The 27,569-nt window shown below is 54.1% G+C and overlaps 1 protein-coding gene, 1 non-coding gene and 1 pseudogene across 5 annotated transcripts, besides 5 other annotated features; all 3 read right to left on the bottom strand.

Moving 5' to 3' along the window:
• On the bottom strand, window positions 1,246-1,653 carry RPL39P5 (ribosomal protein L39 pseudogene 5; annotated as a pseudogene).
• On the bottom strand, window positions 4,855-24,927 carry AMOTL2 (angiomotin like 2). Of its 4 annotated transcripts, none has more exons than NM_001278683.1 (10): window positions 24,698-24,927; window positions 20,210-21,004; window positions 17,007-17,313; window positions 15,793-15,937; window positions 15,327-15,419; window positions 11,022-11,317; window positions 9,616-9,923; window positions 8,793-9,013; window positions 8,050-8,226; window positions 4,855-7,273 (listed from the first exon to the last, which is right to left on the bottom strand). In NM_001278683.1, the coding sequence occupies exons 1-10, from the start codon at window positions 24,808-24,810 to the stop codon at window positions 7,215-7,217; spliced, it is 2,514 nt and encodes an 837-aa protein (NP_001265612.1). In that variant the 5' UTR covers window positions 24,811-24,927; the 3' UTR covers window positions 4,855-7,214. The 4 variants fall into 4 exon arrangements, with proteins under 4 accessions (NP_001265612.1, NP_001350872.1, NP_001265614.1 ...); NM_001363943.2 differs by lacking the exon at window positions 24,698-24,927 and adding an exon at window positions 24,328-24,420 and having other exon boundaries at window positions 4,857-7,273; NM_001278685.2 differs by lacking the exon at window positions 24,698-24,927 and adding an exon at window positions 23,852-23,957 and having other exon boundaries at window positions 4,857-7,273; window positions 9,616-9,917.
• Window positions 9,000-9,560: an enhancer, noted in NCBI's record as "H3K4me1 hESC enhancer chr3:134078332-134078892 (GRCh37/hg19 assembly coordinates)". NCBI's record gives its function as "activates a minimal SCP1, AML or CMV promoter by ChIP-STARR-seq in naive H9 embryonic stem cells {active_cell/tissue: H9 hESC(naive)}" and the evidence as "EXISTENCE:reporter gene assay evidence [ECO:0000049][PMID:30033119]".
• Window positions 10,857-11,151: a silencer, noted in NCBI's record as "tiled region #9661; HepG2 Repressive non-DNase unmatched - State 15:Elon, and K562 Repressive non-DNase unmatched - State 22:ReprW". NCBI's record gives its function as "represses a minimal TATA promoter and a strong SV40 promoter by Sharpr-MPRA in HepG2 and K562 cells {active_cell/tissue: HepG2 | K562}" and the evidence as "EXISTENCE:reporter gene assay evidence [ECO:0000049][PMID:27701403]".
• Window positions 17,314-17,372, bottom strand: MIR6827 (microRNA 6827). Its single transcript, NR_106885.1, has one exon. It is a non-coding gene; the product is annotated as a microRNA 6827 (primary transcript).
• Window positions 23,217-24,016: an enhancer, noted in NCBI's record as "NANOG-H3K27ac-H3K4me1 hESC enhancer chr3:134092549-134093348 (GRCh37/hg19 assembly coordinates)". NCBI's record gives its function as "activates a minimal SCP1, AML or CMV promoter by ChIP-STARR-seq in naive and primed H9 embryonic stem cells {active_cell/tissue: H9 hESC(naive and primed)}" and the evidence as "EXISTENCE:reporter gene assay evidence [ECO:0000049][PMID:30033119]".
• Window positions 24,017-24,816: an enhancer, noted in NCBI's record as "NANOG-H3K27ac-H3K4me1 hESC enhancer chr3:134093349-134094148 (GRCh37/hg19 assembly coordinates)". NCBI's record gives its function as "activates a minimal SCP1, AML or CMV promoter by ChIP-STARR-seq in naive H9 embryonic stem cells {active_cell/tissue: H9 hESC(naive)}" and the evidence as "EXISTENCE:reporter gene assay evidence [ECO:0000049][PMID:30033119]".
• Window positions 24,817-25,614: an enhancer, noted in NCBI's record as "NANOG-H3K27ac hESC enhancer chr3:134094149-134094946 (GRCh37/hg19 assembly coordinates)". NCBI's record gives its function as "activates a minimal SCP1, AML or CMV promoter by ChIP-STARR-seq in primed H9 embryonic stem cells {active_cell/tissue: H9 hESC(primed)}" and the evidence as "EXISTENCE:reporter gene assay evidence [ECO:0000049][PMID:30033119]".

Consider the following 27,569-nt stretch of genomic DNA (forward strand, 5'->3'; position numbering starts at 1 on the left):
AGCACAGGCCTTTGAAAATGCTGCCCCAAGTAGAGGTACACTGACAGGTGTGAGGCCAGAGTCTTTCTTGTGGCACAGGACAGGTCCTCCTTTCCCATGAACTTGGGAACAGAAGGGGCAGGGACTGGGAGACAAATGCTGCCATTCCCCAGAAGGCATCACCAACCTCTCCCCCTCCCTTTATTGTGGTGCTCTGGCTTCCAGGGAGGAAGGGGTGGGAGGTTGGCACCTAGGGATGGCATGGAGGCTCTGGGGAAGCCTTTCCCTGGACCTTGCCTGGCTCAGATCTTTGTGGCCTTGATCAACAACCCCTGTGAGTTGTTCTTGGGACCCAAACACTACAAGGCATGGCTGGGAACTGCTGCCCTGATAACAAGTGTTTCACCCCACCCTTCCCTTGCTGCTGCCCCTGCCCCTATCCTCTCCCAGAGGGAGCCCAGGGCTGTCAGGGCCAGGCAGGAGAAGCTCCAGGCAGGTGCGGCTCTCCTAGGGGTGGAGAGAGTTCTGATTCCGCCTGCTGTTCCCATGGCTGGGGCTGGCTACTGCCCATGTGGCAGTCAGCGCCTGGGCCTGACTCAGGGACCAGCCATCTGGCAGGGCCAGTTCTGGGCTCACACACCTACCTCCACCTCCACCTGCTCATTCACTCTGCTCCCCAAGCCCTCGGGCTCAGCTTCTCCTTCTCTGACCTGAAGACTCCACCCACAGAGTCCCTTTTATCCTCTCCCACCTCTCCCACTTTCAGTGAATGGCAATGGGGGATGGGCACCTGGCCAAGGAGGAAGGGCTTGGGAACTTTGGTCAGAATATCCTACAGGGCTACTGATCAAGCAGGGCCACCTGTGACACCAGCGCAAGGACAAGAGTAAACACCTGTATAATTAAAAAGCTCGGTTACGTCTTTTTACCTGTGGCTCCTTCTGACCCAAGAAGAGCTACAGACTAATGTCTGCTAGCAAGAGTTCCTTCATTCTGCACATCCCAGCTGTCCTCCCCATCATGGTCCTGTGGGAGCAGAAAGGAAGCTGGAGAGGGGAGGCTGCCAGGAGGAAGCGATGTTCAAGCTGGAGGAGAAAAGAGATGAGAAAGGCATTGCGAGGAAAAGGATTGGGATGTGCAAAGGCCTGCAGTTCAAAGAGGCCACAGTGCACTTGGAGCCATCCCTGCGTGGTTTGTATGGCTGGGCATGCACAGAAGGCTGATGAAATCCGGAGCCCCTGGGAAGGAGGCCTATTTTTCTTTTTTTTGAAATGAAAGGTCTCATGTATTTATTACGGAACCCAGCCAACCAGAAAGTTCCTAACAGATTCAGAGAGAAAAAGTATATTCCCAAAAAAACATGTCCAACTGTCCAGATAGTGGTGACATTTTCAGCTTGATATGGTAACATGATTGTGACCTTTAGACAGCATAAATATGTGTGCCATCTCATGTTCAATTCCTTACAGACCTAGCTTGGTTCTTTTCCAATGTCTCCTCTTGGAGTTGTACCTGATTTTATTACCAGTTTTCATCCGAATCCACTGGGGAATGGGACGATTTTGCTTTTGTTTCTTGGCCAGGAATTGCTTAATCTTGAAAGTCTTGTGAGAAGACATGGAGAGAGGCGGAGCCAAACACACACTACAATGGTGGAGAAAGGAAGAGAGAGGGGCCTGTTTTTCTTTTTAAGTTAAAAAAGGTTATTGTGTTTTCAAGGCAAACCTAGCCGTGGTTTTTGTAGTCACTCTATGGTTGAGATTTTGGTATTTTTGCCATAATGCAATATGCTGTGAAGATTTCCATAGTACACTGTGTTGAGCAAGAAAGGCTTCAGAAGAGAGACTGGGCAGGGCTCTTTTCAAGGCTCCTGAAGCTTCAAAAGAAGGCCAACTTGATGCAAGAAGAGGCAAACCTGTGCAGGGAAATAACCAAATTATTGCCCAACACACCTGGAATGTGCCCCCAGGTAGGAGCCTTTGGACTTGCAAGAGGCATTTATCTCAGGACAGATCATGACACCAGGTTGGCTCAGAATCAAAAGCTGATGGGCCCACAGAGTAGAGTAGAATGTGTCCCTGTTGCAATCAAGTGCAAGTGGCATGGCTCTCCAGGGCACCGAGAGCCAACTGTCAGATGTGCCCCACTCCCACTCCTGCTGGGGGCTGGAGGTTTGGCTGGTGGGCGAGAGCAGGGTGCACATGAGAGTCATTTACAGTTTGGTCCTCAGCAAACTGGTCAGCCCTTTCATCCAGGCTCTGTGGTGATAACCCCATCCTGCGCCTAGACCGCAGGCTCCCTTTGTGGGTACCTCCACCCTACAGAGGGGGCTGTTTTTAGTGGATATCCAGTACCAGCCACTTCATCTGCAGAAGAAAAACTGCAACTTCATTGACTTCCAGATCCAAGCCTCACCTGGGAGAGACAAGGATGAACCCAAGTCCTGGGTACTTCCCAGGGCTCCATTCCCATCAGGGAAACACAATGCCCAATGCCCAGACAGACAGATTTACTGTGAAGCTAATGAATCTTGTACCTCGGGGTGCTCACTTGAAGAAGCCCCTTCCAAAACTCTAGATCTAATTTTGTATTCACCACTTTGCATTCTTTTTCTTCAAGAGGGTCCTCCAAATTATACAGGCTTCAGGCCTCACAAAATTGGACCGACCCCTGCCAATTCTCCTTGACTCTGGCAAACCTTAGCAAACATGGGTGCCTTGGGCTCAGGGCTCATGGGCCTCCTTTCCAAACCTCAGGACCTCCACCCTGGCAGCCTAGGGAATGAAATGTGGGAGATTCCAGCTCAGAGCAGATAGTGTCCTGGCTGCAGCCCAGCAGAGGTACTCTGGGGCTGCTGGGCCCAGGATGGGTGAAAGGGGACTCTCTGCAATAGAAAGTTCAAAGTGTCAGCCTAGGAAAGAGGAGCCGACAAGTGTGAAGGCAGCAGATCCAATAACACTTCTAATTGTGTCCACATGGCCCACTGGTGGGGCATTTGCTGATGACCCGTGGTTGACCGCTGGCTTAAAGTAGATGCTGTGATACAAAACACCACTGAATGGTGCACTTCAAAAGGGTGAATTTTATGGTATGTGAATTCTATCTTGTTTGGAAAAAAAAAAAAGATGCTTAGGGTTCAATTGCTGTGGCACTTCACCCATGTGTTAGATCCAGGCATGGCACGTCCAGGAATGCACTGCTGGTTGCGGGGGTTTCTGAACCACCTCCAGAGGGGTCGGTCGCTCCCAGCAAGGCCTGATCAGGGACAGCTTCATCCTGGCCAGCCCCTTACTTGTGCTAGTTGATGGCAGAGTGGTACTGCAAACAACTTTCCTGTCTAGCTGGAGTTCTTCGGGTGCAGTAAAGCGGCTTTGGCTATCTCTGGGTGACTGGGCCCCAATTTGCTGCCCTTGTCTTGGCATATTTTCACCAAGCTTGCTGAGCCTGGTGCATACTTATGCCAGGGGAAGAGTTAACAATTAACCAGGAGGTGAGAGGAGGGAGAGAGGCTGGGGCAGCCACTCATAAGCTGCCCTCCAGCCCTTGCAGCCATGGGCTGCCCCCTGAGCCACATCCCCAGCCCTGTTGGTGGGGACACTGGGTGGAGGCAGGGCAGGCAGGTTAGGGCTGCCCCCTCAAAGAGGAACTTGGCCTCCAAAGGGCCCCGCTGAGCCACCTGGGCTCTGGCCCAGGCTCCACCCCTTCACAGGTGTTAGACACAGAAGGCAAACACCTCCCTCCACAAGGCCTCACCATCCCTGCCACAGCCTGCAGCTCCACTAGTTCTGAAACTTCATTAGACTGCATTTCACAGGGCACCGAGCAGCTCACTCATCCCCTTTCCCGAGAGGAAATGTCACTCAGATGCACTGGTCACCATGTGGCAGGAGAGCACCCATGCCCTGCAGGGACACTAGCCAGAAGATATTGGTGCCCCTCACACCTTTCTCTGGGACACATGGTCAGGCACGCATGTACACATGTGCACACAAATGCACATGCACGTACATGTGCTGGGTACACTGGGACCGATTTCTTATTCCTCCTGGTCTGTGCCAAGGAAACATTAAAGTGACTTTCCACAGACTGGATCTCACAGAAGGTGCAGATGCTTTGGAAGCCCCTGGCCAAAGGTACTGGGGTGAGATGGCACTGTTGTCAGGGCTTATTGTTCACAGGTCTGAGTTGCCAAGCTGTCCTTTGGAACTCCCTGCCACAGGCACCGACATTTTGTTTTGGACAGCAAGTCAGCAAATGTAGCCATGGGCTGCTGTGGCCCAGGGAGGAGCAGCTGTGGGAGGGTGAGAAGGAGCCCTATTGTTCAGGCCGCCTCCATGCACTAGGCCTGCATGTCAGGTGAGTAACCTATTTGTGAAGCTGACTCTAGTTCAGGGCTCAATGGGAGAAAGGCTGGCATAGATAGTGCCCCAGTGGCAGGAGGCAGGCTGGAGGGTTGGGTGGAGGTGTGGCCATGGGGTGGGTTTGATGCCTCTGCATGGAGAGCTCCTCATCCAGTGGGACCCATCACCATCTGCAAAGTTGCTAGAAAAGTTTCTGGATGTTTCCAATTCTTCCACCTGCTTGTCTTCATACTTGTGGGCTGGTAGGCCAGCTCGGGAAGACACCTTCTCTAGGATCTCAACTTAGTTACTCATCAACATGGCTCCCGAGTTCCCACATTGGCCCCGAAGACACTTCACTCACGGCCATGGTGGGAAACTGTTCCTGTCACATGTCACGTAGGCTGTCTGGTAGCCTGCTGCTGCCTCATGGCCAGCTAACTGCTGGCCACATGCTGACTGGGAACCTCAGGGTCCTAACACACTTATAGAAGCACAAGACAGGTATTTTGTTTCTGATACAAGAACAAGCAAGACTGAGAATGGCTTTCTTTAATTTTGAATTGGAGCAATATGCTTTCCTGAGCATCAGGAAAGAGTGGTGATGTCACAGCAAAGGAGGGAGGCGGTGGCTAAGAACATGCACATTCTTGAATGTCCTCTGCATGGTGCCTGGCCTTCTGGATGGTTTCGGACAAAACTTTATGTGCTAGGTGGGAGTGGGAAAAGGAGTGGGGGAAGGATAAAGCCATCTTTGGACACCCACTCCCACTGTGGATAACCACAGCGTGTGGCCGAACAAAGCTGATTAGAACACAGCCCTACCTCGGGAGGCTGCCATCTGCCAGGCCCTCCTTCCCCTCCCAGCCTTCAAGAAATGTTATCTATGAAAGGGGAAAAATGCCAGCCACATCCTCATTCCAACTCTATCCTTAATGCAGCTTCACAAAATTCCTAAATTCTATCTTGGGTCCTTGAAGAGATTGGACTATGACTTGGGTGGCCCCCCAAAATCCTCACCCTTTCCCTTCCCTCAGTGCAAAGTCTCACCTGTGCAAAGACATCACTTTTAATTATTTTTTTTTAATTAAAATACTGTTATACCCAGTGGAATGCGGCAGCAATCCTGGTACAGGGTGGCATAACAAAACAGCCATGTTTACATTTTAAATATTTACGATAACTTAAACATACAGACACACATCATGGTCTTTGGCAGAAAATGTTCACAGCACAAAAAATACTTTAAAAGAAATACCAAATATTAATCCAAAATATATTAAGTTGTTTTTTTTCTTTCACAATATTTTTTGCCTTTTTTTCCTCTTTTTTCTTTTTGCTTTGTAAACAATGCACATGAACCAAATGTATTTTTCAGCTTTAAACAGGGGTAGGGGAATTTTTTAAAAAAAATTGCAATTGTCCAGCAAATGCAAATGTTTAAAAAGGAAACTTGAGGAACCATGGAAATAAAACAACACATACCAAACCTAAAAACGATAAAGGAAGAAAACAAAGAATCAAGGAGAACTAAAAACGGTAAAGACAAAACTGCTAAAACCCACCAATAGCTCCTGGGGCTGAAGTGAGGGACTCTTTAAGACCAGAAGTCAAAGTCACTGCTGCTAGCAGGCTGCCATGTGGGTGTTTCACCCCAATTCCAAAGCATCTGGTGCTGCTTTAGGGCGCTGGGCATGGGTAGCTTGAGGAGCCAGCCTCCTGGGCACTGTTTTGTGATGGGGGCTCCATTCAGAGGACTATTTGACTCTTGTAGCTCATTAACTAGTTTTCAACTGCTTTGCTCCTCTCCCAAACCCTCCAGGTGGGAATGAAGACACTTATGCTAACAAGACATCTCCAGTTTCTCAGAAAGAACTGGTACCGGGTAGGGCCACCGAAGCCCACCTGGGGGCATGGCAGATGTCTGTTCACGGTGGCTCATTTCATCTGGCTCAGGGTTTATGACCAAACTGACAGGATGTTCCAGGGACAGGAGCTGTGGAGCCACTTCAAGAGGCTGGTGGTGGGGGTCCCGTGGGCATTTATAGGGCTCAAGATAGAGGAAAAGGCAGCCGAGATCCTGGGAATCGAGCAGCTTTAACATCCACGGGCCAGGAACTTGAGGAGGAGGCATAACTGGGAGGCCAGTCAGAAGTTTCAGAAACTGACAGTAGGAAGAGGGGAGCACAGCCCATGGAGACACATCGGAACCTGCAGGCCTCAGTCTTCTGTTCCACAAGAAAGGGAATTATATACAAACTGCGCACTGTCTCCCAGTCCACTTAAATGGCCCCTCACCCACAGCAAGTGAGAAGGTGAGGCTGTGTCTTCTCCAAGACTAACACCCTTAATAGTCCCCAAAAAATTCAAGTCTTAGTATCCCAAGAAGGCAGTGAGGAACTGAAGAGCAGATGACGTTGGCTGGAACCAAACTTAGCCAGAGAACAATATGGCTGACTTGATTAGTGAACCAGTCCACCTGGTGTCCACGGGCAGCCGTCCGTGGAAATTAGTTCCCCAAACCAACACAGCCACTCCCTCCCTGCCTGACTGACAACTGGCAGGGCAGAGGGAGCTCAGCTCCTTTCTGAGCTGTCAGTTGCTACCCCAGTAGCAGGCCTTGGGCAAGAAGTCAAGGCTGAATCCTCATTCTCCATAAGGCCCGGAGGAATGTGGGCTAAGAAGCAGAGTCTTCTGGGGGTGCCGGTGCTCTCACAGCTCTCCTCTCCCCTGGGGTCCTCCTCCTGAGCTCCTGGGACCAGATGGTCAATGGGAATGAGTGTCTGGCTGGGGAAAGGGACGGAGCAGCGGTTGACGGGGCTGCTGAAATGGCTGAGAGTGGCACAGGGCAGAGGAGGGGAGAGAATGGCTCAGAGTCCTGAAGCACCACCTCCTTCAGATCAGTATCTCCACCATGTCTGACAAGTCCTGGACTCTGGATGTAGCTACAGAGTCTGGAGACAGACAAGAACACAGGCACATGCCAATGAGTGTTACTAGATTGCTTTTAAAATCCTGGCACATTTGAAAGACAAAGATCGTTCTTCACCAACTTTTCCCACCTCTGCTGCCCAGGTTCCCAGAACTCGGCCAACCAAGCACAATGCTCTGCCCCCTTTCAGTGCTCAGCCCAGCCCACCAACCTCCGATGTGTAGGATGCATTTGTTTCTAACTTTGAACTGGTTGGAGGGCTTAGAGAGAGCAATGGAGAGCCCTGAGGGAGGCAGGCTGCAGCATTCTTTTCATGCCTGTGGTTTTCTGAGATCATGAGGCACAGGCAAATATGCAAAGGCCAATGTGAAAGGGGAGTGGAAAAAGAAATGGCATCTTCTCAGATTTCTCCTTCCCGGACTCTTTAAACAGGCTTCCAGAGTGCCATCGGCATGACTTGCGAGCTCCATTCTCTTGGATAATCAAATTGGAAATTAACTATGTAGGGAAGACCATGAAAGAGGAGCTAAAGTGCCTCCCATCTGGTTGCTTTCTTTCTGAATTCTGGATCTGCCTCTAATCAGGGTTTCCAATTTCCCTATTCATGCAACCAGCCATCCCTCATGTTCACATTGAGGTGGGCCAGGCACCCTGCTCACCTCTGGCTATGCACGGCTCCCCATGGAGTGCGGGCAATGACCCGGAGGGGGTCTGGGAAGAAAAGGCCTTGTGTTCCAGTTCACACCCCAGTGCCCCCTCGGCCCTACCTAGCACAGAAGTGGGGTCAGGAGGACTTACCCAGAGAGGCTGCTCTCTGGCTACTGCTGCACCCCAGAAGGCTGTCAGGCTCCGGTGGCAGGCAGGTGGAGGTGCTGTCTGGGGGGCCCTCAGTCTGGGTGCTCCCATCTCTGCTCCCGTGTTTGGCATGGGCAGCAGGGGGAGCTGTGACCACTGGCTCCTCTGTGGGTGCTCTGTCTGCTGGAAAGGTAGGTGGATGGTTATTGCCATGCCTGTAAGATGTGGCCCTGGTGAAGGACACTCTAAGTTAACTGTCCCTGCTGGGGATTCAAGGTGGAGTGGGCTGCTCTTGATTTGCAAGAACTTTAAGACTAAAAATGCTCCTATTTTCAAATGGGAATAACTACCAGATTGGATTGGCTTCCAAATGTTTTGGGTGGTGGGACCCTTCCTTATAGATTAAATCTTCTAGAGTTTCTGTGGCATCTGCTTAGAAGGAAGAGTGGAGGGAGCTTGCATACAAGGTGTATCTGCACAGGAAGCTCTATTTTTCTTAGTTCAGTGGCTGGGGCTGAAGCATGATAGAATTTATGGTGATGGGGACTAAGTACCCCTCTTCACACTGGCAGGAGAGCCTTGCGCTGTAGAGTCACTAGAGGCAGAGAATAAGCCAGCTCCCCTGGAAGAGGGTCAGGAAGCCCTGGCTCCTATAGCCTCAGTTCTGGGAGGAAAGGTCTGGCAATCTGTGTTCAGGCCCAGGAGAAATTACCTCTCAATCTATCCCAGCAGTAGCCTCCTCTTACCTGTAGTCAGCCGAGCAGGGGCGTCTGCTGTTTGTCGCTCACTAGAAGAGAGCCCTTGCCAGCCCTGGGTTCCTGCTGCCGCAGCCGCGAAAACAGATGGCACCGACTTGGCAGGCCGCAGGGAGCCCTGGATGGCCTTGCCAGGGTCTCTCCTGGAGCGCTGCTGAAGGACCTTGATCACTGCATCCTTCTCCAGGATCTGGGCATGGAGCACCTTTAACCTGAGGGGTGAGAGGCCATGCCCACATTGTCAGACCCACAGATCCAACAGCCTCCACCCTTCCTGCCTCATAGGAGTTAGAGGAAAAGCCCCCCCCAACTCCCCCAACCCTGCCAGGCTGGATCCTTCTGTGCTTGTAGCAGGGACCCAGAGAGGGCTTAGAAATGGCACCACAGCTCTGGAATTTGATGCTCTTAGAGCCCAGGCTCTGAAAACCACCAGTGCATAAGGCCCTGGGCCCTTCTCACACCAGCAAAGGCAGGCCATTAAGGATGGGTTCCAGATTCATCAGATGATAGTGGCGGCACAGCCCTCATCCTGGAGGGCGGCACTCCGGAGAGGGGAGGCAGGGCCCAAGCACTGGATGGCACCCAACACCTCCACAGTAAGAGTCTCCTGGGCAGACCAAGGACTCGGTATTTCTGGGCAAATGCATGTTTACAGTGCCTGGTGTGCCAATCATGCAGGTTCAGCTCAGAAGCAGGAGGGACTGCTGAGCTCTATGGGGAAAGGGGCCTGTTTATCAGGGATCAAGGGCAGGGCAGTGACTGGACATTGCCACCCACCCCCCCAACCTCAGGTGCCTGGCCTGCAATGCCGAACCTGCTTTCCATCTCCTGATGCCTGTGGCCACCAGTGAGCAGACCCTCATTGAAGCTGCTGCTGGGTGAGGGCTGGGGGGAATGTCGGATGAGAGTGGTGTCACGCTGAGCAGCAGCCGTGGCAGCCGCATCCATGGCAAACTGCCTCATGGCACGTTCCTCCAAATACTTCTGCTCCCACTTGGTCATGTCGGCCTCCAGCGCCAGGATCTGCTCCTCCTTCTCTCGCAGTTGTTCTGACAGTCGCAGGGCGCTGAGCTCTGGAGACCCACCACTGCCACTGCTACCACCTGGGGCACCTGCCTGTCTCTGCAGAGCAAGGAGTAGAGACCGTGGTCAAGGGTGCAGGTTGGGGTGTGGCAGCCACTGGTCTTCGCCTCCACACGACTGTCACTTGTACATGTACGTGTTCAGCCATACACAGCATACATTTCCCCATCCTTCCTCTACCGAAATGGGGATACAGCACAGGTCCCCATACCCCTGCCCTGAATCCTAGGGCAAGGGCATAGAGACCAGACAGATAATCCTCCAAACTGGCAAAGGGGGTGCTATCAATAATTATACTGGGAAAACTGGTGTACATTAGAACAGAACTGGGCAAACCAGGGGGTTCAGTCACACTACCTCTGTGGCAAGGGTAGGTTTGGGAGTGGAGAAATAACTCTATTTGGTTTGTAAACACCAAGAGTTGTTTACACAGAAGTCCGAAGTGAGGCTAAGCACAGTGGATCTGGACAACCATCTTTCCTCCCAATCTTGGGGAGGCATATAAAAGCTGGCTGGTGGCCAGACGCAGTGGCTCATGCCTGTAATCCCAGCACTTTGGGAGGCCAAGGTCGGCGGACCACGTGAGGTCAGGGGTTCAAGACCAGCCTGGCCAATATGGTGAAACCTCATCTCTACTAAAAATACAAAAATTAGCTGGGCGTGGTGGCGCACGCCTGTAGTCTCAGCTACTCGGGAGGCTGAGGCAAGAGAATGGCTTGAACCTGGGAGGTGGAAGTTGCAGTGAGCGTTCGCGCCACTGCACTCCAGCCTGGGCGACAGAATGAGATTCCATCTCAAAAAAAAAAAAGCTCGCAGGCCTTCTATATCCAGGTTCCTGACTTACTTTCTCTAGAGGTCAAGGACAACTAGCCCTGCTGCTGCCGAGGACAGGAGTCCCCCGAGGCTGGACATGGGCCAGGTGGCAGGGCCTCTACTAAGACAACGAGTGGAAGGGAGCACGCAGCAAAGGTGGAGCAGAGAGCAATCATCCTCGCCGCCTTCCAACGGGCCTGCAGCCTAGATCTAAGCAGGGGCTCCCGGGGCCTCAGCCCTGGCCTCCAAACCTACAGTCCCCGAGGAGGAAGGGAAGCCAACATCCTCAGATGCTGCCCTAGCCTGGAGACTTTCTCAGCTCACCTGCTGTGCACGCAGGGCCTTGAGTTCCTGCTCCAGGCGAGTCCGCAGACGCAGCTCCAGCTGCTCCCGCTTCTCACAGGCTGCCTGCAGCTGCCCGAGCGCCTGCTGCAGCCGCTCCACTTTCTCCACATAGGCCTGCTTCTTGCGCAGCTCCTCTTCGGCTCGAGCTGCCCGGCCCTGCGCATTGCCCAGAGCCTGCTCCAGCAGCTCGGCACGCCGCCGCTGGTCCTCGATGGCGCCGCGCAGCAGTGCCATCTCTCGCTCCAGCTTCTCTTGCTCCTGCTGCTGTTCGTAGCCTGTAGGGAGAAAGAGGCTTGATCAGTGACAGTGACCACGTTGGCTGGCCCCATTGCCTCCTGGGCTCAGTGCTGACCACTGGATGAGCACAGTTGCTTCTCATTCTCTCAAAAATAACAGGAATAAGGTACCACTATTAACCCTGTTTCATGGAAGAAGAAACCAAGGCTCATGTTAAGTCAGGAGTAAATGACAGAGCCCAATTCCAGGACCCTTGCAGTAACAACTGGGCTACCCTGCCTTTCTACTGGGACATACTGCCATGGGACAGCCCCAAACACCATCCACTTGTGCCAGGGGCACCATGTCTAAAACACATCCACAATATCCCTTGAACCTTGTGACGGCTCGAGACTGTTGAGGTAGGAACTGTGATGCCCATGTACAGATGAGAAAATAGAGACTCAGGTAGGCTGTGACATGGTCCTCCTTCCAGTGGGAGAATGAAAGAAGGGGGAACAGAACCACCATCGGCTGTCGGCACACCAGGCCCTTACACATCTTATTCCACGAATCCTCCAGCCCCTCCAGGGAGGATTTGGGATCCCCAACTTATAGGGGAGAAACATAGGAGGTGAATGGTGCTGCCAAATGGAAACCCCAGTTGGCCACACTACAAAGGCCCAGGCTGCCTCTGGCTACATGGTGAGGCGTTTGTACTTATAGGCCACCCAGAGCTCTGGGGCTCCTTCTGCAGACCCAGGCCGAGAGGTCCGTTGAGGGCTACATTTCCTTCCATGGTCTGAAAAGAACACTGAGATGTAAGCAACCAGGCTCAGAAGGAAATGCAAAGTCTGCAGTACAGTGAAAATGACTATGGCCCAAAGATTAGTGTGTAAGGGTCAAGCTATCCTGACTTTTAAATCATTTTGTTAATTGCCCAAAGAAACTGCTCAGAGGCCCTCTCCATAGGGCCAGGAGAAGCCCAAGCCAGACCACAGAGCCCTCCATCTGATGTTCTAGCCTTAAATCCACCTCCCAGGCACCTGCCCCTTGAGAGTCCCAGGCTGCCCCCTGAGGAGCAGGTCAGCTGCCTACCTTGCTGGAGAGCAGGTGGGGGGCAGGGCTATGGGCTCCCGCTAATGAACCTAAAGGCACTGTCTCTAGAACAGCATTCTGATTCAGTGGAATTTTCTGCCAGAGTGGAATTGTTCTATACGGCACCCTCCAATGCAGTGGCTACTAGACACACGTGCCACTGAGGACTGGAAATGTGGCTAGTAAGATGGGAGAACTGAATTTTAAATTTAATTTATTTTCATTAATTTCAATCTTTGGGCCACATGCAGCTAAGTACCTATCATATAGGACAGTGCAAGTTCTGGAACAGAAGGGTGAAGGCTTGAGACCTTGGCATGTGGAAGGGAGGATTCATTTACTCAGGTCCCTGGGGCAGGGCAGGGAGGACACAGAGGCAACTCAGGTTAGCTCTTGATTCATTTTGGATGTTTGAAGGCTGAGCCCAGGATGGTATCATTCTGTGGCATGGAGGAAAATACGAGGAAGTCCAATAATATTGAAACGGATGTGTTCATACTTCGCTGGCTTAACATCCATTGAGTGGGGTGTTAACATCCATTGAGGAGGGGCAGCCAGGTTGGGACTCAGGCAGGGAGGACCCTCCCCTAGTCCACCTGTGCGTTCAGTTTGCCCAGGGCCTGCATCTCATTTCAGCCTTAGCATGACTCTGTGGGGAAGGACTCTGTCTCATCTTATAGCTGGAGAATCTGGGGCGCAGGGAGAGAAGAAATATTCCCAAGGGGGTGGAGCTAACAGGCCAGCCTCAGGCCTCAAGGCCAGATCCCCAGGGGGCACTGCTGGCCTAGAAGGGCCAGAAGGGCAGTGCTGGGGGGCTGCGTGGCTTGCCTAGGAGGAAAAGCAGATGGCATTGGTGATAATGGCCACACTTTCCTAGTGTTGACTGACCCCAGATAAAAGGGAGGTCAATCAGACACCTCCCTTTGCAATAGCTACTAGGGAGCAAGGAAGAGCTGCTTGGGTTTCCTCAGCCCTGGGGGAGGAAGGGGCCGGAGGACCCAGCCCTCTGCTTCCAGAAGCTTCCTGCAGCCTTGTCCAACCTCTAAGGCCCTGGTGGGGGCTGGGAGGCTTTGAGCTCTGGCCATCCCCTACCAACAGGACCCTGATAAAACCTTGGGCCTGCGGGATCTCGGGAAGGAGAGCTCCTTAGTAAGAAATAAGTGGTCTGGGTGCGGGTGGGAAGAGGACGCCCGAAGGCCAGCGGAGGAGGGCAGGAAGGCAGGCGAGGCGCCGACGGGACCCGGGATGCGCCTTGGGCAGCGAGCGAGCCCCCACCTCCACGTTCCAGGCTCCCTTTGTGCTCACCCTCCCTCCTCCCAAAGCCGGGCGAAGGGCGCCAGGCAGCGCGCACGGGAGGGAGCGGCGGGGGGCGGGCCGGGAGCGGAACAGCTCGCGGCTCTGGAATGCCAGGCATCCAGGTCACCCGCGGCTGCAAGATTAATGGCTCCAGCGAGGAGCCAAGAACAGCTCGGCGCTCACTCGCTCCCCGGGGAGCGGAAACGCCTCCCGGCCGGCCCCCCTCTTCTCACCCACTAGCAAGCTCCCAGAAACCCGCCCCATGGCTTCCTTTCTTTGGCAGAGTCAGGCTCCAGAAGTCCGCCTTCCTCCACAGGCACCCTAATCTGCCGTGCCCTTGCAGCTTCTCCTCCCCAGACTCCTCAGGGAAACCCCAGGGCTGCCCCCTCCCCTTTCTCCCTCCTTCCCTTTGACTCCTTCCCAGAGACCTTAAGCCGCTGCCATCTCACCCCACCCAGCCAGAAGAGACCAGCCTACCTCCTGCCCCACCCTGTCAATTCCTTCAGTGCTGTGTTCCCCCATTCCCTGCCCTAGTCTTTGAACCCTCTTTGAAGGAAGATAGGGGTGCTGCCAGCCAGAGCTAAGTCCTCAAGCTGCTCCTCCATTTCTGCACCCCACACTACCCTTTGTGCCATTCACAGTAGGGTTCCTGTGAAGACTCAAAGCCATGTTTACCCAGCTACCAACCACTCCCATTCCACTTCTCTGCAAACACCTTGAACAGCACTAAAGCTCCTAGTAGGAGCTCAATAAATAACTGTTCTTAGTCTCTTCTGATTGCTAGAGCCTCCTGCTGCTGAGCTCAGGGCTCCCTTTGCCACCCACCCCATGTACCTCTTGAACTGCCCAATAGCTCCTTCACCTCTGGCTGGCTCTCCACCCCTGCCATCCCCACAGAGCCCCTCTCTCAGGCCACCGGGGCTCCTAATCACCGGTTTCTAGGGCCACCCCCGTTGTTCTTTTGCATCTGTGGGAACCTGCTCCTTTCTTAAGCTCACCACTTCCTTCCTGACCTCCCTGCCATGGTACCTTCCTGGGCCTGCTCCCATTCTCTCTTGAACATCTGCCAGTTGCTTAAAACACATCTGCTAATGAATGAATAAATGGACTAGTCAATGAACTTGCCCATTCTTCAAGGATGCTTAGACCGCCCCGTTTAGAATGCATCTGTTGGTTAAGGTCTAGGATCCCATTTTTGGCTGCCTCAGATGCCTCCACTTGGCTTGCTATGGCTCAGCTCCACCATGCCCCCCTACCTCTCACATTCCCATTGCACACTCCCGACCTTTCTGTTGCCAGGAACTCCCTGGGAAGCTCTCAGACCTGTCCTTCTCCTTCACCTCATCTGTCTTCAGGGCTACCTTGCCTCCCGCACTGCCCAATGCACTGCACTGGTGGTCAGCACCGAAGCTCAGCAAATCACTGCTCCCTGGCTTTCCCTCTTGTGTCAGCTGATCTTCTTAAAAGATACAGAACTAGATCCTATTCTTCTTTGGAAGCCACTTATCCCCACTATCCCCAGATCCAGTCTAGTGTTGGGCATACAGTGGGCAGTAAACCTGCTCCCAAAGTACTACTTTGCAAGGGGGAAGGCCAATCTTCCTAGTCCAGAGGGTGTGCAGCAGTCCCATTGCCTGCACACAGGCCAGGCTTCTTAGTGGGGCCCCTACTCACTCTGAGCAAGCAGCTTGGCCACCATGTCCTGACTGCCGGCCTGGGCCTCCTGTGTCTTGCTTGCCAGGCGGCGATTTGCAGATTCCAATCTCTCTGTTTCAAGGGAAGGAAAGATGTTTTAGTGTCAGGTGAAGCTGCCAGCTTGGGATTTTTCCTGACGTCCTATCAGGATGGGGCTGTATCCTCCATATTGGGGATGGGTTCATAAGGAAACCCCAGCTCAGCTCAGGGCCCCATGGGTGGGAGCCTCCTCTGTCAAGAGCCATCATCCCTGAGGGGATCCTAGGCCCAGTACATAGAGACAAGCATCTCTCTATCAGGGCAGCTCCAAAGGGGTCTCAGCCTGGCTCTCTGAGTTCATCTGCACTTTTGACAGAGAATAGAGATTCCCAATTTTTCTCTAGAACAAAAGAAGTAAGTCCTCTGCAGAGGTTCTCCAACCTCCACCTGTGTGACTGGCTCTCACCTCTAAGATCCCGGTTGAAGTCTTGCAGCCTCCTCATTTCACTGTCCATCTTGTTCCGCATGGTCTTCTCCAGGGCCTCACGCTTGGAGGAGGCTCTGGTCAGGCTCTCATGGGCCTCAGAGAGCCGCTGGATTTCGCTTTCCAGCTGCAAGAGTCAGACAGCAGAGCTGAATGAAGGCGAGAGCTCCCAGGGAGTGATTCGAGGCTGACCCACTACTCTCCATCAGAAAAGGTGACAGATGAGAGGCCACCAAACAGGAGCAAAACCTCCAGGTGACTATGGTGGGATGGTCAGAAGCTTGTAGCCTCCGGAAGTAGAATAGACTGCTGGGACCAGCAAGCAACGGTCCCATCGGCTGCCCCAAGGACCAGATGCTGAGTGAACCCAGGGCCAGGTACTTTGGAAGTAGCTGCCTGCGGGGTGACTAAACACAGCTTCCCTGTGCCCAGTGTCCAGAAGGAAACATTCTACTCTTGGCTGGCTTCCACCAAGAAACTGAGTACAGTTGGCCAGAAGTGGGCACCGAAAGACTCCAGCCATGATGGGGTGGTTTGACCTAACTTGGACACCACAGGACAGTCAAGGGAGGCCTGAGGCCATCTGCTAAAACTGAGCCTCAGCGGAAAACTGGTAACCCTTCACTAAAGAAGCGGGCACCAGGCAGAGCTGCCTCTGCCTGGTGTCCCAGGCATCACCATCCACCCAGAGGGCCAGCTGGGCCCCGGCTGCTCCTCCCACTTGGCTGCTGGCAGGTTCCGCACGTGCTCTTAGCTGGCCTGTGATTCCAACAAGTCGCCCATTTTTTTTCCAAGAGGAGAAGTTTTCTTTTTGGCCAGGGCTGGCCTGGAACAGACTTGCTGTTGTGTGGGGGACACAAAGGGCTCTCTGTGGGAGGTGTCCATGGGAGGGGGTGTGTGCAGGGCAAGGGTGCGAGTGTGCAAGGAGCTGGTGAATGGGCTCTTTCTAATCACCACTGGCCAGCAACTGTTCATGCTCCAGGCCTGCTCTGCCGGCCTCTCGGCTGTTCCCCAGCTGTCTGGAGTCAGCTCAGGAGGGTGCATGAGGAGTGAGGGAGGTGGAAGACAGAGGGATAGGGAGAAATCCAGCCAAACAGTTTTCAGGCTCCTCTGCCTCTCCTTGGACTACCCACTCCCCAGGTAGCCCCTCGGGGTCTCTTTCTGGTCTGCCCTTCTGAAGCCCCAGCAGGGCCTACCTTCTCAATGCGGCCAGCCTTCTCCGCAGAGCTCTCCAGCTCCCTCTGCAGCCGCTCATTGTCTCTCTGCAGCCTGGCATTCTCCCTCAGCACGGCCTCCATCTGGGCCAGGTGGGCACTGCCCGAGGTGGCTGAGGAGGCCTGGGCACTCACTGGCCCCTCCACAGCAGGTGGACTGAGGGAGCTCAGGGGGCCATGGCCGAGAGCAGCTGGATGTGGGGGAGGGGGGTGCTCCTGAGATTGCTGCAGGTACTGGTACTGCTGCTGCTGTTGGAGGAACACAGGAGGCACCTGGGCCTGCAGGATCCTGGGGAACAGAAGAGACGGTGCTCAGAGACAGCACAGACCCTCATGGCTCCCACCAGAGCAGCCCGGGGTCACCCCACTCCTAGGCATACTGGGAAGATGGTTAATTATTATCAATAATTAATATATTATTAAAATTACTGCAGATAATTATTCAACCCTCTAGTGTTAGGCAGGGACCAGTAGGGAAGGCCTTTTCCAAATGTTTCTGCCTGAGGCTCTCAAGAGTCAGACAGCAGGGCTAGAGGGGATTAATGTCAGGATGCTTGTTTCATACCCGCCTCACAGTGGCTGGGGCCTTGGGGATCAGCCTGAGCAATCCTGGGCCTCCTAAGCAACTAATGCTTAAATACATCATCTTAAAAAATGCACCCTGACACTTCTAATCAATGGAAGGTTATTTTTGGGGCTGGAGGCCATGTCAATCATGACTGAGCATATAACCTTCCAGGCCCCAGGACAACTTTGGTGGCTGGGCCCCAGCAGCAACCTTGTGTCTATTACACGAGTCGCCAGTTTCAAGACTGCCAAAGCAGCACTCATTTTCTCCTTCCTATTTCAAGTCCTGCCACCCCCCACCCCCCACTCACCCAGAGTCATTTTTAGAAGACTCCAGTTAAGGTTAGAGCAATGAGACAAATGTCAGGGTAAGAGTCTGAGCTCTAGAGTCTGACAAATAGGGGTTCAAATCCCTGCTCCAGCTGTTTAACCTTGGGCGAGTGCCTCAGCCCCACAGACTGGGCATTGCTCTGTTGCATCATGAGGGTCTCCAGCCTCGCTGGGATTTGTTGAGGATGACGCTATGTAAGGCCTGGCAGAGTGCTGGGCCAGTGCTGGGCGGGTGGCAGGTGCTCCTATAATGGTGGCCCATCCTCCATCTCTTCTAGTAGGAGCCTCAGTTTACCCTCAGTTTAGAGAACAAATGTGGCCCAAACTCTTGGTTTCCTTGGGAGTAAGGGCTGCCTCTGGACTACTGTGGTCACTGAGTTCAGGGGACAATATTCTATTGGCCTCTGGCACTGGTGTAACATCACCCCCAGGGCTCCATGTTGAGGGAAGGAGCAAAGGGCAAGAGGCACGGGGAGTCCAAGGGCCTTCCTGGGACCTTGTGATTCCCAGTGTCACAACTGCCTCAGTTTCACAAAGAATCTTCCAAGTCCCAGAAGCCCCGCAAAAACCGAATTCCCCTTCTGGGTGCATCATCTCAGCACTAATGCACACCCAGCCTGCCCCTGACTCTTGCTGCCATGCAGCCTATGGCCCCCCTGCTCTTCTCAGGACCCTAGGCTAGGAGTCTAGCCCGTTTCCTAACAAATAATCTTCACTGGATCATCTGAAAGGAGATATTGGGCAGATGTATTTCTCCTACTACCTAAGGTGGGGCTTCCAGTAAGAGCTGGGAAGAGGGTCCCCACTGGAGTGCTCAAACTCTCCATTCCACTGCTAAAATGGCCATTCTCAAGGTTGCTTCAAGAACTTGCTCCCCCCTGCACTGGGCCAGGCAGACACAACTGGCATTCTTTGGGGATGACTTAGCTCTGAGAAAGAATAGCAACTCCTTTCCCTTCACACTTGCTTTCCTTTCTCCTCGTCCTCTCCCTCCCCTGCTTTTTGTTCTCCTGCAAACAGTCTACTTCCTTGCCGTGATTACTATCTTTTCCTGACAGGGTTCAATAAGGCTGGTCCAAAAGAAGAAACCACCACTCAGCTTCCGAAACTCTTCCTGACCGAGCCCTGAGAGGGGCGATAAAGTGCGAGTCTGGAGGGGTGGAGGCTGGAGAAAAACTATGAGGCTCCAACCTCTGGTTCCGCCATACCAACCCCATCATGTCACTCATTTCTCGAGAGCAAGGAAAGCCGGACGGTGGGAAAGTGGGTGTTTACTAAAGGAACACAGCAGGCATGAAGAGAACCAGACTTTGACCTTGGGCCACCAGAGGAAGAGTCTGAAATCCTTGGGGTCCCTTGGTGGGGTTTCTTGGACTCCCATAGGGGGAGATGCAGCAGTGATGGCTGTGTCTGCTTCTCTGGAAAAGATGCTGGGCAAGATGAGAAGCGTGAGGCAGGGCCTTGTTTCTAGGAACACTTATTTCTCCAAACTCTCTAGACTTCTTGCCTCCCCGGGTCTTCCTGCTTCCATTCTGGCCCCTTACAAACCATGCTCTGCATGTAGCCAGAGAGAGCATTTAGAAAAGGTAAACCAAATCACATCCCCTGAGGGCCTCCCAGCACACTCAGAATCAAACTCTAAGTCCCTACCATGGCCCAGCAGCCTCTCCTGAGCCTCACCAGAAAAGGGCCCACTTGGACCCAGAATCCTTTCCCACTGCAGGCTGCAGACGCAGGGAGCATATGGCAGGAAATGAAGAGGAGAGACAAGTAAGCTCCTGCCCTGGTGTAAGATGCTGAGAGGTCTCTAATCAGACCACTGGGCCTTTCCAGCCTCTAGTTAGGAATGCCTCCCAATAATCACAGAAAGCAAGCTGCTCATATTTTCTTAAAAAATCTCCAGAGAAGGAAGTCCCACCTTCTTCCTGCTTAACTTGGAAACAGTTTGGCAATCATTCCCAACCTTGCCTTTAGGAAGTTCTTTCTGAAATCTAACCTTTAACCCCCTGCTGCAATTTGTGTACTCTGGGGACTCTAGTTACTTGAATGCTACAGCTAAGCAGACAATGGTGCCTATCTCTGAATTAAGGCAAGGGACACCACTAACTTCTTAGGGGACCTCAGCTAAGTCCCTCTTCTCTGCCAGGCATTAGCTCTCCCTTCTCAGGTTGGAGGTGGGGTGGATCTTGCTAGCTCTGACACAAGCTGTGATCTTGAGGCTCTCCTCCCTGAGAGACCTGTGCTGGAAGAAAGCCAGGAGTTGGAAAGCCCAAGGTGGGGAGAGTTACCTGACTTCAGCATGCTGGAAGTGCGGGCTGCCGCGGGCACGGTACCGTGGGTCAGTGACAGCAGTGGTGGTCTCATGAGCTAGTACAACATGAGGGTACTGAGGTGGGGGTCCTCGGGACTCTGGGCCCTCAGCAGGGGGGCCCCTCAGTGGGGGGCCCTGCTGGTTGCGGGCCAGCTGTGGGAAGCTGTGGGAGGAGCTCATGTGGCTGGGGGCCCGGGCGCCGTTCCTCTCCAGGGACAACTGAAGGAGCCGTTCACTCAACGAGCGCACGTGCCCATGCCTCAGCTCCCGCAGGGCCTCGTCCTGCCTCCGACTGCCTCCCGGGGCCCCACGGGGATCTCGGTCCCCCGCATGTGGCCGGGTCCCTGCCTGCTGGGCCGCATAGTACTGCGAGTGGGCTTTGGCCTCCTCATAGGTGGGCAGCTCCTCTCCCTTGCTGGGCTGTGGGCATAGCCGGTAGAGGGTGTTCTCTGCCAGGTGGTTCTCACCGCCCTGGTGCTCCTGGCCCTGGGGCTCCTGCCTGGTGGCCTGCTGCAGCACCTGACTGTCCTCTGGGGCCAGGATCTCCAGGGAGGCCTGGGGGCTCCCTGTACCCCCAGTTCCAGCCCCACCCCTCAGGGCCTGCTGCTGGATGGCTAGCAGCGTGCGCGTCTCAGTCAGGTTGCCGTAGCGCAGCTGCTCCTGGATGAGGCGGTGCAGGACTGTCCCCGAGGAGTCTTCCAGTGTCCTCATGCTTCTTTGGCTTGCACACAGCTGCCTGGACAATGGCCGGTGGCACCTGGCCCCAGAGCACCTGGAGTGGGGTGGGGAGAGAGAGAGAGAAAAGCAATCAGTGGGAACCCATGGGAAAGGAGAAGGCTTTCCAGGATTTCCATTATTACTCTGGTGGAAAGCATAAAAGTGAAGAGCAGGGGTGGGGCGGTTCACACAAGCCTGGGTTCAAGTACCAGTGCTGCCATCTACTGATTAAGACAAGTTACCTAATCTCTGAGCCTCAGTTTCTCCACCAGAAAAATGCAAAGAATTCTGCTTGACTCATGGAGATGAGGAAAAAAAAAGAGGCAGTGGCCTGCGAGCTCCTGGCACAGTGAAAATCCTGGTAAACGATTACTAATGATAACATTCATGGAGACTTACTATTCCTGGAGAGAGACAACAGGAAACCAGAAGATAACCCACCAGGAACCACCACCCGTACAGCCAGCTACACATCAAACAGCCTGATGGGCAATTCTAAGGCAGGCCTAGTTCAGATCTAACCACTTAGCTATTCAGTCTAGGGGTGGATGGGGCCCCAATTTATTGGCAGGTGATAAAGAATGCATGCAGTCCAGTAGAAGCCCTAGGCGAAAGGCCTCTAGGACCCTCTAGACTGAGGCATGCCAGAGTCCAGCCTTGGTACAGTCAACCTACCACCCTCTAGACTGAGGCATCCCAGAGCCTTGGCACAGTCAACCTACCACCCTCTAGCCCGCTGAACCCCTGGCCACTTTTCCCACTCTCCCTGAACCAGAGAACTCCTGGAGGATGGGCTTGGGCTCTGCTTCATCAAGCGCTGCTGACAGAATGAATCTGGGGCTCCCTGTCATGGGATGACCTTGGCAGTCATTCTGCAAGGTGAACAGGAAGAAGGAGTAATTGCACCTGAATTGGTGAATAAAGGATGAATAAAAATGCTTCAAGAGGACAATGGTTTTGTAAGATGAGGCAAAAAGGTGCCACCCATTAAGGTTAGTGGGTCAGTCTTTTGTGCTGACAGTAACTGCAAGAGAGCTCCAGGAAAAAGGAAGGATGGCATGATGTCTTTGATTTTATGATTATCCTCCCCAACACACACACACACACACACACACACAAACACACACACACGCTACTTGGAAAAGCCCCCACTGGTCCTCTAGGCACATAAGGGATGGGCACTCAGCATCTTTCTTGACATCAGTGTCAAGGAAGCCCATCTTGACTTGGGCCAACTGGAGAAGTAAGGGGAGGCTGTTGGTTGAGAGACCTGGGGCAGGGGAGAGGGGACTGTGAGCCTAAAGTGCTGGGAGATTATATCGGAGAAAGGAGTTCCCTTCTAAGCCTGGGCTCCCAGTGGTTCATGGACTGGAAATCTGCCTGCCTCTCTCACCCAGCTTCCTTTCCACAGCCTCTTCCAACACAAATCTCCAAACTGGGATCCAGGGAAAACTAAACAGAATCCACACTGCCACAGGTCCTGTGTGTATGGGCAGGGGTTGGGGGGGTGGGTGGGAGGAATGTGGCCCCTCCTCTGCCACTAAACTAGCCCTAGTGTCCTGCTTCAGTTTGGGCTATGGCATGTTGGCAGAGCAGCCATTCCCGATCTTTTCCCTCTCCCCACCCCAGTACTCCAGCTGCCCAGAGCTGGGGAGTGGGGGATGAGTCTGGAGGGCACCTCTGTACCCATCCTTCCTGGCACCCAGTCATGCGCCCCCCACACACAACGAGGGGTAGATGTGCAAGACTCCAGAGCTACCCGAGGCAAAGCAAGCAAATGGGATTCAATTCGTATGGGATTCAGTTCGCCCTGGAGTTTTATCTGCGGGCATTTCCTATGATAATCACTCTCTGGGCCGACTCCCACAGAGAAGGCAGGGGAGCGGCAGGAAGGAATGCGGAGCCTTCCTGACAGATTCCAGGCGCTCCATAGTGTGCCCGGACTGGGAGCAAGGAACATCTCCAAGGCCTCTCATCGCGAATTTGTCCCGGCCAAGCCCCTCAGATTCACGTCCTTTCAGACATCAAACGCCTGGGCCTTTACAAAAACCTGCTTCCGCGCCCCCGGCCGCGAACCTCTGCTGCACTCGCCCGCTGCGCTCTCTGAAGGCCGCCTTTCTAAGCCAGCGCGCGTCTCCAGCCTTGGCCTGGGCTCCTGCTCGCCTAAGGAACCAAAGACAGTCTCCAAGCTAGGAGGTTCTGGCACCCCAGCCAGGGCTCCCGCCCCACCACGAGCCCGGGCGGACCTGGAGCACCGGTGGCCGCTGGTACGCCTGGGGCGAGCCGGTGAGGGTAGCCCGAGGCCCGGAGAGGTCTTTAAGCATCGCGGGTCCGCCTCCCTCCCTCTCGAGCCCTCTTTGTTTTCCAAATACTCTAACGCTGACGTCACCGGGCTGGACAGCAGGCTGCATTCTTTCTAAGTGAGGGCCAATTCGTGGCTCCAGAGAGGATTTTCCAAGGAAGACAAAGAGGAATTCTTGGACTAGTTGGGGGCAAAGGCACCTGTAACCCCCACCTAACCAAATCAGCCCGCAGGACCCTGCAACTTGAGCTCCAAGCGGCGCCTCCATCCCTGTCCCCCGCCACCCCCACCCCCGCCGACCTGCAACCCGAAACACTGTGGCTGTTGTCTCCGGAGTCGGCCCTCTCCCCTCTCCCCCAGCCCCAAGAGACCCGCGCGTTTCTAGAGCCCCGCAAAGCCCAGCGCGCTGCGCTCCCTGGGCAGAGCGGCCCTTGCCAGGCACTGCGGCTGCCTCGAAAGGGCGCACTGCGCCCCGAGGACGCTCGATCCTCGAGGCTCCGACTCCCGGAAAAGGCCGGGTTGCGCCGAGACTCCAGCTTTGGCTGGGGCACGTTTCTGTGGCCTCGCGCGCTCTCCCGAGCGCCGAGCGGCCTTCCTTACCGCTGCGGCCCGAGGGTGCCCAGCGCAGTCAGACACCACAACCTCCGGCTCGGCCCAGCTCAGCTCGGCGGCGAAGATGTGTTCTCGGCCGTGGCGCCGACGCTCTGGCTGTTCGCGCCCCAGCGCGCAGCCCCAGGGTCGGCCCGCGCCGGAGGCGGCTGCTATGCCAGGAATGTGAGAGTTTCAGGTTCCCCCTCGGGATCAAAGCGAACCACAAATAACCTCTCAGCGCACCGCCCTCCTCCGCCCTCCGCCTTCTCCCGCTCCCTCCTCCCGGCCCCCGCCTTCCTCCGGGGAGGCGGCGCTGCTGGCCGAGCGCCGGCCCGGCCCCCGAGCTCCGTTCCTCCGCGCCCAGCGCCCTCCAGGCCGCGGTGTGTCCGCCCCTGCCCCATGCTTTGCCTTCGGAGCTGCTGGAGACAATTTAATCCAACTCTGCCCATTATCGCCTCCACTCCCAGTCGCCGACCCGCTCTCACCCTTCATCCCTAAACCCATCGACGGGACGACAGCAAGGGCTGTACCACGCGTGTCCTGGGGTTGCTGCGGGAGGGGACTCCGGCTGTGTGTGTGTGTGTGTGTGTGTGTGCGTGTGTGTGTACCGGGGGAGGTGGGAAAGGGAGGAGGGACTGCAAAGACATCCATATCCTCTGGGCTGGGACAGTGCCCCGGGCTAAGTGAATGCTTCCAGCCACAGAGCCTCTTTCCCCTAACCCCCGCTGTTTTCACCCCCAGCGGCAACCTTTGAATGCACTTTTGTTTACAAACACCTTCGCCAGCTATTTTACGACCGTCTCGACAGGAAGTGTGAATCTGGGTTGGAAAATCCGGTCAATTTGACCCACCTACCCAACTGAATCACCCGCCGCCAGGCGCTCTGTCCAGTTCTTCCCCAAGGTGATAATAGGCGCCCCTTTACGCAGAGTGCAAGGTGTGCCACCGCTGGCTTTTCGCCCAGTCATCCGATTCAGCCCTGCCAAGCACCCTCCAACGGAGTTCTGTTATCATCCCTGTGTTGTAAATGAGGACACCAGGGCTCAGAGAGCTTAAGCAGCGTGCCCAGAGTCACACACAGTGAGAACCAGGTAATCAACCACTGGGCTGCTTGGTTTCTCATTCTCAAAACCCCTCCCTGGCTATCAGAATCCAGGCTCCCTAGATGGACAGGGCAGACACTGGGAGCCCTCCTCTCTCCACTTACCCTGTCCTTGCTTTAGTCTCTTCTTTACCTCCCCCTACACCCCTGCCAGCCAGGGGCTTTCCCCTGTACCCACTTCTGTGGCTCCTGCATGGAATCCTCTCCTCTGCCCCCAGGACACTTCCACTGCTAGATGGAAACCCCTTCTTCAGAAAGCTCGCTCTGACACATGCTGTCCCCGTTCCCCATCACACAAGCCCTCTCTACAAGTCAGTTGGGGTGAGGTGGGGGCAGTCAGGCCCCTGTCCACCCAGAGAGTCAGGGCTGATTTCTACCCCTGGCTGGGTCCTCCCATCAGCATGGAGTTTGCAAGTCCCAAATTCACTGGAGGGAAACAAGGACAAGGAAATTCTGCAAGCTTAATTGCCAGGGACATTGTTAATTTTTAATAAAACTCACAAAAAGTGTGTGTGTGTGTGCGCACGTGTGTGTTTTACTTGGAAGTCAAATACTGTGTTTCAAACAGTGATTGGATCTGAGATGATTGAGCAAATGGATCATTTGTGCCAAGCTACGGGATATTTGTCTTTCCAAGGATCCCCTTACGAAGAGAAGCTGTGATCAGTATACCACTGTAGGTAGGAATTTTAGAAGTGAAAGGAAAGAGGTCTCTGAGTGGCCTTACCTTATGGACAGCATAATTGGTGGAGGCAGGGGAGTGGTTGTGGACATGTGCACTCGGGTTGTAAAACCAGGGGAAAGACCACATGGTACAGTCCTGTCTTTCAGGCATTTGGGAGGATACCTGACAAAATGTTTGACAAATATTCTTGAGATGGTTGCAGAAAGGCGTCAGTTCAAGGCAGCTAGGGTGAAGGAGGTACATCTTGGAGTGGACAAGCCTGCTGCAGAGCCACACAGGCCCCCATGATTGCTAATTTCTGTCCCCAAAGGGACAGAAGCGGGAGAGGGATCCCAAAACCTAAATGAGAAATGTGCATGTACTTTTATTTTTCCTTTCCCTTTCTCTCTGCAGAAAGAACAGAAGGCAAGATCTGTCAGGCATGGCCTGCGGTGGAGCCTACCTAAGCTGGCGGCCACCCCAGCTCTGCAGGATAGTTGGTGGAGAAGGTGACCACTGTTCAGATGTGCCAGAGGCAGATGTGCACAGGGGACACTGGGCCGGCCAGCCTGCTTGCATATGAATCTTCACCTACAGCAGAGGGGAGAGAGGCTCTCTTAGTGAGCCAATGCTTTCTTCTTCCACCTTTGTCTCAATCTACTTTGTCCCATTCTCCTTTACCTCCTCTCTTCCTCCTACAGGTTATGATTCTTCCCAGATGACAATGTGGCTGGCTGGGTCAGGAATCCTATCCAGGAAAGATGCGGAGGTGACCTAATTCTCAGAGTAAGCCAGGCTGGAGGCCTTTGCTCTAGGAAGTGTAGCTCCTTGGGGTGTGGCTGCATCATAGGTGTGTACAGGGCTTAGCAAGGGATCCAGGCACCCACACCATCGCCTCTCCTTAGCCCCGGTCTGGGTCTGTGCCTGTTTTATGGCCTCAGTCTGGCCCTGCAGCTGCATCCCACTGCACCCAACCAGAACATGAAAGTGAGTTCTTGGTGGGACCCTAGCAGCCTCCTCCCATGGAGCCGGGAAGGAAATGTTCCCCTTACTTCCCAAATGGTTGCTTAGTGGAGGAGAGCTCCAGGGTGCAGGTGGCAAGATCAAAGGATGACTGTTAGTTGTGAAATTCACTTTTCCAGCTTCCCCTGAACACTCCCTCTGACAGGTTATGGAAACAGGAAACCTACCGGAATCTGGAGCATGAAGCAAATTCATAGGAAGAATCTGAACATTAGGATGGAAGTTCCAGTGCTCCAGTTCCAAGAACAGAAGAAGACCCAAGTGGGGGACTTTCTTCTCTTTGTCCTTCTGCAAACCCCTGTCCCCCCTTCACCCCTTTCTCCTCCCCTGCCTTCATCACTGCCTCTAGGTTTTCTCCCCCAAGTCTCCTCCTTCCACTGCTGCCCCCTCTCCCTTTCACTCTCATGCTTCAGGTCTGGAATCTCCGTTATGCACAAAGGGCCTCATGGGGTCTGTGTCTTTGGGGGTTAAATCCTCCAGAGTTGGAGATTTATGAAATTAGCCCCACAGTGGTTTAGGTAAGAGGATGTTGTCCTAAAAAAATGAAGAAGCAGCCAGGTGCGGTGGCTCACGCCTGTAATCCCAGCACTTTGGGAGGCCAAGGCAGGTGGTTCACCTGAAGTCAGGAGTTCGAGAGCAGACTGGCCGACATGGCAAAACCCTGTTTCTACTAAAAATACAAAAATTAGCCAGGCATGGTGGTGGACGCCTGCAATCCTAGCTCAGGAAGCTGAGGCAGGAGAATAGCTTGAATCCAGAAGGCAGAGGTTGCAGTGACTTCAGATAGCTCCATTGCACTCCAGCCTAGGTGACAGGTGAGACTCTGTTTAAAAAAAAAAAAAGAAGAAGAAGAAGCCCTGCCTCTCCAAACTGCACACATTCCTTGAGCCCCTGGCCTTCCTCTGTGGCCCTTTGCTTCTTTCTGGTGCCCCTGCCAG

The sequence above is a fragment of the Homo sapiens genome, chromosome 3 (assembly GCF_000001405.40).
Source record: "Homo sapiens chromosome 3, GRCh38.p14 Primary Assembly".
NCBI classification, from domain to species: Eukaryota; Metazoa; Chordata; class Mammalia; order Primates; family Hominidae; genus Homo; species Homo sapiens.